The sequence below is a fragment of the Homo sapiens genome, chromosome X, assembly GCF_000001405.40.
Source record: "Homo sapiens chromosome X, GRCh38.p14 Primary Assembly".
In the NCBI taxonomy this organism is placed as follows: Eukaryota; Metazoa; Chordata; class Mammalia; order Primates; family Hominidae; genus Homo; species Homo sapiens.
In genome coordinates, this window is record NC_000023.11 from 71,778,013 (window position 1) to 71,785,175 (window position 7,163).

A 7,163-nucleotide genomic window follows, 5' to 3' on the forward strand; every position below is an offset into this window, starting at 1 on the left:
ATAACGAATGGGTACTAGGCTTAATCACTGGGTGACGAAACAATTTCTACAAGAAACCCCCACGACACAAGTTTACCTATGTAACAAACCTGTACATGTACCTCTGAACTTAAAATAAAAGTTCAATTCAAGAAATAAGAATAATATGGTTTGGTGTTGACTGTTATGTACTTTTATATTAGTGGAATCAGAAAATATGTTCATATTTCTTGCTTCTTGTGTTTAATGTCAGGAGTTTGGTTTTGGATATTTAAATTTGAGATGCCTATTAGGTATCCACGTGGAGAAGCTGAGTAGACAAAGGTCTGGATCTGGGCTGAAGAAATACATATGAGAGTCATCGTAGTATCGATTTTTTTTTTTCAGGGCCCATCGCAGAGCTTATAGCTTGCAGTGAACGCCAAGAATGAGTTCTCAGACAAATCCAGCTGAGGGGGGCCGGGGGCAGCTCTTCTAAGAGACTCCGCCCCAGCATCTGTCCGCCAAGTATTCATTGAAAGGGCTTGTTAGACCACAAACATCCACTAGATGGCCTTTTTGAGGTCGGGTCATGAGACACCTGTGGCCTGGTAAAAGCACTCAAACCGCATTCTCGGGAGGCTGTTTTCAGCGTTCCTTATCACACCACACACTCCACTCCCCGTCCTGTTTTCAGGGTCAAGGAGTTTCATTCTCATGCACAAATAACATACACACAGTGCCTCAGTATGTTTCCATGCCCCGACCTCAAACGCCTTGTACATAAGCTTGAATATGCTGTCGTGCACCCCGCCATATTCCCCCCTTCTTTAATTCTTATAGCGTGCTGGTCATCCAATGCAAGGTAAGCTTCCATGATTCTTCCCTGGTCATAGATGCGTCGGGTGGCAGCACAGAGCCATCTGCAAGTGCCTAGCAAACAGATACAAAAAAGAATAAGTACAGCGGCCATCACCCAAATGCGTATGTTTAACCCAGACAACCAAGTGTTCGGGTTTAACCATTGAAAGCCTTCTTGTAATTGCTGAAGGATACTTGTTTGTAATTGCTGCGACCATTCTTCAAGGTGTTTCTTTAATTCACACTCAAGAATGGAAATTTGAGAAGACAAATGGTCGTGATAAGCCCCTTGCAGATGTGCTTTCACTCTCTCCCAAGCATATTGGGAGCTATTATATGGCAGAGGCGTGACACAGATAGAATTATATTGCCAATCAACAATGTAAATTTTGATGGGTAATGAATGCCTGCTGCTGATTCCCCAGTTATTCAACAGCGGCTTCAAGAGACCGGGCGAGACAGAATGGTTTTATCTATATTTACCTGTTCTTGAAATTCACGGGTTACATTATACACCATGTGGTTCACCACTGAGGCTGTGTGAATAGATTCTGTCAGAGAAACAGCTGCAGTAGCAGCAGTTGCTAATATAATAATAGCTGAGACTAAAAAGGCAATTAAAGTGGCCAGGAATCTTTTTTTTTTTTTTTTTTCCGAGTATGAGATAGTGATTTTCTAAATAGCTGCAGGGTGGAATCTCCTTTTCAGCTCCAGGTTAAATTTACAGGCAGCCACAATTCTGCACGCCATTTTAAGATCATGACATAGGTTATATCCAACTGTGTAATGTTTCGATGGACAAGCATGCAGCATACCAACTACTGGAAGAGACTTTAATACTATAAAAAGATTGATTCTGCTCTATGTTAGGAACACCTTGCCCAAACAAAAGTATATAAGGGTGCGTGGTACAAATCAGGACTGTGTCAGTAACATTATTATGCAAAGAGAGGGTATGGTTGCCACCGCCAGTAATATACTCACCATGTGAAAGAACCCGTTCAAAAAAAGGAAATCCTAATCTCCAAATTTGGGTATGAGCAGGGCTTAAAGCTTGTTTCCCTCTCACTTGTAATACTGGTCCTGAAAGCCCATACTCTGACTAGGTAATAGGACTACTGGAGGGACTCCCAAGTCCAATAGTCTGATTTGCAGACATAAGATTACCACGGGGACCCCAATCAAGTAAGGTGCCATTATCAAACAGAGGCCCTTGACGTGGAGCAGGCTGTCTGCACGGCGACCACTGGACGGCCTCAAACTTTTATCGCCAGTCCCTACTCGGACGGCATATAGGAAGATCAGGCACTTGTGTAGCTTCATTAGAGACCTCAGTAAGATTAGTGGTAATAGTAGAAATAAAGGTCAAGTTTGCAAGCTTAGCATCCCTTTTAGGCTGATAGTAAAGATACTCCTGAGGGATGAGAGTAACACACTTATCATGTGCTATTGTGGAAAAACAAAGAGGGGGATTACTAGACAATAAAATCGAGGAGTAATTAAGTTGAATCCATCCCAAATTTTCAGTTACGGGGTAAGACAGAGGCATCCATCGGCCTCCTGCCCAAGAAGTATCATTAGATGACAAAGGCGGGTCAGCATCCCACCATGTAATAACATTAAAAACAGGGGGATTTAGAACATGACTCCAATAAACATGTCCTTAAGCTGATCCCACTTAGCAAAGGACAAGAATTACCTGCCACCCCAACATCCATGTCTGTCTTACTTTCTCAGAAGTTTCCCCAATTGCCACCAGATATGTAAGAAACCGATTGTCTGCAGTTGCAGGGGCTTCCACGGCGGCAAGCTGGATAGATGCTTGTTGATTCAATTTCTTTAGCTGTCCCCAGGTGATGTCAGGTGCCTTCCGAGTCATCACCATCATTGTTGGTTGGTTCTCCAACGACTGGTCCTGTTCTCTAGAAGAGAGCCCCATATTCCCCCCCGCCCTTTTTAAATTAAGATATACTTTAAGAGTTTGATGAGCTCGTTTAACAATGGCCTGACTGGTTGAGTTATAAGGAATATCAGTTTTATGTTGCATGTGCCAAAGTTGCAATGCATATGTAAATCGAGCACTAAGATAGGAAGGTCCATTATTAGTTTTTATAGTGTGTGGAAGGCTTAGAGTTATCATAGATTTAAACAAATGAGCGATTGCATCTTTAGTTTTTTCTCCTGTCTGGGAGGTAGCATGTATTAGGCCTGTATATGTGTCCACGGTAACATGGAGAAATTTAAAACGTCCAAAGGGTGGACACCGAGTGACATTAGTTTGCCAGATAGCATTAGGCACCAGACCTCGTAGGTTGGCACTAAGCCCTAAGGAAAAGGGGGAAAGAGAATGCTGTTGGCAATTAGGACAAGTTTTAATAATCATGCAAGCTTGAGTAAGTGTCAAATGAAGCTGTTGTTTAAGACGGCGGGCGTTCCGATGAAAAAACAACATGATCAGCTTGAGCTTGCAAAAAAGCAGGAGAATTTGCAAAGCACATCTGTGGTCGTACCAGAGCATCAGCTCAAGCATTCCCTTCTGATAAGGACCAGGTAGCCCAGAATGACGGCGAATATGTGTGATGTAAAGAGGGTGATGACAGGCACAGAGGAGCTCTTGCGCTGCAAGAAACAAAGCTAATAGGGGTTTATTAGTAATGCCCTTCACATGTGCAAGATCTAAATGAGTAATACTATACACCACATAAGCGGAATCACCAACGATATTTATGTCTTGGTGAGGAAAAGTTTGTAAGGCCAATATCAGGGCACCTAATTCCGCCTGTTGCATAGTTTTTAAAATGCTCCTGGATTTTGTACTGCCAGTTCTGCATGGCATCTTGCCACACTATAGCTGCTTTTTCAGTTTTTGGGTTTTTTTTTAACCATCTGTAAAGACAGTGGTGGCATGAAGTAAAGGCTCAGAGACAACAATACATACAAATTAAACAGGTACAGTTTGTAAAAAGTTCAGGAGCTTAGAGGCTGGTAAATGAAAGCTGATATTACCAATAAAGACAGCCATTGCTACTTGCCAATCAAGATCACAAGCTAAGAGAGTGTGAAATTGTTCCTTGCTTAAAGGTAGGAAAAGAGTAGCAGGGTCTTATCCTGACAGCTGGACGCAACGTTGGCGTCCTTTTATGAGAAGAGAAGCTATTATATCTGTAGTCTTTTGTATAAGTTTAGAGGGATTATGAGACAGGTACATAACATATAAAATACCGAAATGGCAAAAGATAAAGCCTACCTGTTAAACTAAGGCATGGAAAGGATGGATATTTTAAGTGATTTTTACTATATTTTGGCCCTTGAAAGCCATTAGAAAGTGACTGCAAGTCGCCAGGATAATAAACCTGCATTGAGTTAGCTTAAGTGTGTTAAAAAGAAAAGAAAACAAAAAAAAGCTTTTTAAAATGTCCTTTGGTGTTAGCCATTTTCCTGCATCAGCCTTTAGCTGGAATGTCTTAGAAGTGAGCTTGGGAAAGTAGGGCTGTGGCCAGTTTCTTTCTATTCGTTCTGGGCCCCTTAGGCAGCTTCTCTTTTTAATAGCCTGCCACTTGTTGCTGTCCTTACCCTGAGAGGAAGGAAGGAAGAGTACAAGCGGCAGTAAGAGGCCAGAGAATGACCGGGTGGTAAACTGTGTGTGGAAGTGCGGAGGCTGGAGGCAAGAAGGTAACAGGCTGGGAGAAAAACACTCCCCTTATCTTCTAGGCCACCTACGCCTGCAGCCAACCCTGTTAGGTGAGGTACTGAAAATATACTGGGCTTTTTATTATTTTTACCACCCCCAAGCAGAGAGGCTCAGGGGAGGAGCAGACATGCAGCACAGGGTCTGCTTTGAAGTTTCTTAACCACAGTGTTTTTAAACATTTTGTAAAAAAGCAAAACAAACACTCCTTACTGCTGCGTCTATCTTCTGAAGATGACAGCAGCTGGCAGAGCTCGTCCCCCTCAGTCTAGTTAGCATTTAATATATGGCTATGGGAGAGCGCCCCTTATTAGTGGGCTCCTCCTCCAGGGCTCTGTACTCCGGGCTGCTCCACACTCCTTTGCCCACCTTAGGCTAGTAAGGTCCGGGTGCACATGGACTATTTCTCAGCCCTTTCCCTAGGGGGCCAGGGAAGACAAGGAATTGCTCGTCAACTGAGACATGTGAGGAGTGGCAGGGAAGGGCAGAAGTAGGAAAAGCAGCAGCACGGCAAGCAGCAGGCCACTTCCTGGGCACAGTTACTAAGGCACGTGACCATGGTGAGGCGGATCCTCAGGACTGGGCTGGAGCTGCCTGCAGCCACCCGGGGACTCGGTCTGTGCCTTTTGGCCTTCCCTCCGTCACCACAAACCCAGAAAGGGGCAACCTGCCCAGGCTGCCAGTGACCAAGTGTGCACTCCATGGCATCTCAGCAACTCTCCTGCCCCAGGCCTCTGTGGGCAGCAAGAAAGCTAGAGCTATCTGGGATAAAACCCAGGAGGCAGCATGCAACTTCCCCTTTTACTCCAGTGAAACAGAAAAAAGACAAGGCCAGAAAGGCTGATGCTGGAAGTAGCAAATGGGAACTTGCATATTAGGAAGACAATCATAATCAGCCACTTTCCTTCCCTCCTGGACGCACCCCTCCAGCAGGGAAGTTAGTCGAGGAGACGCAGCCACCCAATCATACAGATCATACAGATGTTCGCTGACCGGGGGTCTTATCTAAGAGCCGTCCCTTGGGCGGCCTCCAATCTCCTTAAGGGGGATGGAAGGCGCTGTTGGCTGAACAGGGCCAACAAATGCAGGTCCTTTTAAGGGTGGAGGAAAGAAGGGCAATGGCTTTTCTACAGGGGGAGGAAAAGGCTCCCGTCCGTCCTTATCCTCACTAAAAAAAAAAAAAAAAAAAAAAATCCTCCTTATGCCCTACAGAAGGGAATGAGGTAGAGAGAGGAGCACCCCCACCCCCCAACCACTGTTCTGGTTCCTGTTTGTCCTCACTAGAAAAAAACCTCTTCCTTATTCCCCATAGAACGGAATGAAGTGGGGAGAGGAATCTCTCCCTTCAAATCTTCTGAATTCTTTTCAGGTGGAGATAATGGGCGATCTAACCACGATCTGGCAGATAAAGAGGATACAACGCAGAGCGTACCAGCGCCCAGGTGGTCAAAATAGTAACATTAGTAAAATGACCCTGCTCATATCCTCTTTTCAGGCAGCGACCTACCTGCTCTCATAACCCTAAATCTAAGGTTCCTTGATCAGGAAACCAAGGGCATTTCTGCCAAATTAAAAGCATAAGCTTGTGTAGAGCTCCAGGCTCTACAGTGCACTGGATAGCCTTAAGTAGCTGTTGCACTGTTTTAAAAAATACTTTCTGTTCTTTGGTCATTTCCTGACCCATGATAACCCAACCCGCGATAGTTTACGCATGGGTCCCGTCCTCCTGATGGGAGTCAGGACTGTCCCTTACCAGGATTCCCCGAAAAGTAATGAGCTCTCCTCCTTCACGCGTAACTTCAAGGCGATCACGTCGGGGTCACCACTTGCAGAGCTTATAGCTTGCAGTGAACGCCAAGAATGAGTTCTCAGACAAATCCAGCTGAGGGGGGCCGGGGGCAGCTCTTCTAAGAGACTCCGCCCCAGCATCTGTCCGCCAAGTATTCATTGAAAGGGCTTGTTAGACCACAAACATCCACTAGATGGCCTTTTTGAGGTCGGGTCATGAGACACCTGTGGCCTGGTAAAAGCACTCAAACCGCATTCTCGGGAGGCTGTTTTCAGCGTTCCTTATCACACCACACACTCCACTCCCCGTCCTGTTTTCAGGGTCAAGGAGTTTCATTCTCATGCACAAATAACATACACACAGTGCCTCAGTATGTTTCCATGCCCCGACCTCAAACGCCTTGTACATAAGCTTGAATATGTTGCCGTGCACCCCCGACACCCACTCCAGAGACAGAAATTACACCACTTTTCTATTGAGTTATGTTAAAATACACGTAACATAAAATTTACCATCTTAAGTGTTTTTCAGTTTTGGGTTCAGTAGTGTTAAGTATATTTGCATTGCTGTGCAGCCAATCTCCAGCATGTCTTCAACTGCAAAACTGAAATGTATACCCATTAAACAACTCCTCATTTTTCCCTGCCCCGCAGCCTCTGGAAACCACCATTCTACCTGCCGTTTCTGAGTTTGAATATTTTAGATCCCGTATATAGGCGGAATCATGTAGTATTTGTCCTTTTGTGACTGGCTCATTTCATAGCATAAGGTCCTAAAATTTTATCCACGTTGTAGCCTGTATCAGAACTCCATCCTTTTACAGGTCAAATCGTAATTCATTGTAAGGGCCAAATAGTGGACCACATT

The 7,163-nt window shown here is 44.7% G+C and overlaps 1 long non-coding RNA gene across 1 annotated transcript; it reads right to left on the reverse strand.

Annotated features, from left to right (window-relative positions):
- Positions 1-156: 156 nt before the first annotated feature.
- Positions 157-6,366, reverse strand: LOC100132741 (uncharacterized). Its single transcript, NR_034004.1, has 3 exons — positions 6,261-6,366; positions 2,519-2,741; positions 157-891 (listed from the first exon to the last, which is right to left on the reverse strand). It is a non-coding gene; the product is annotated as an uncharacterized LOC100132741 (long non-coding RNA).
- Between the last annotated feature and the right edge of the window lie 797 nt (positions 6,367-7,163).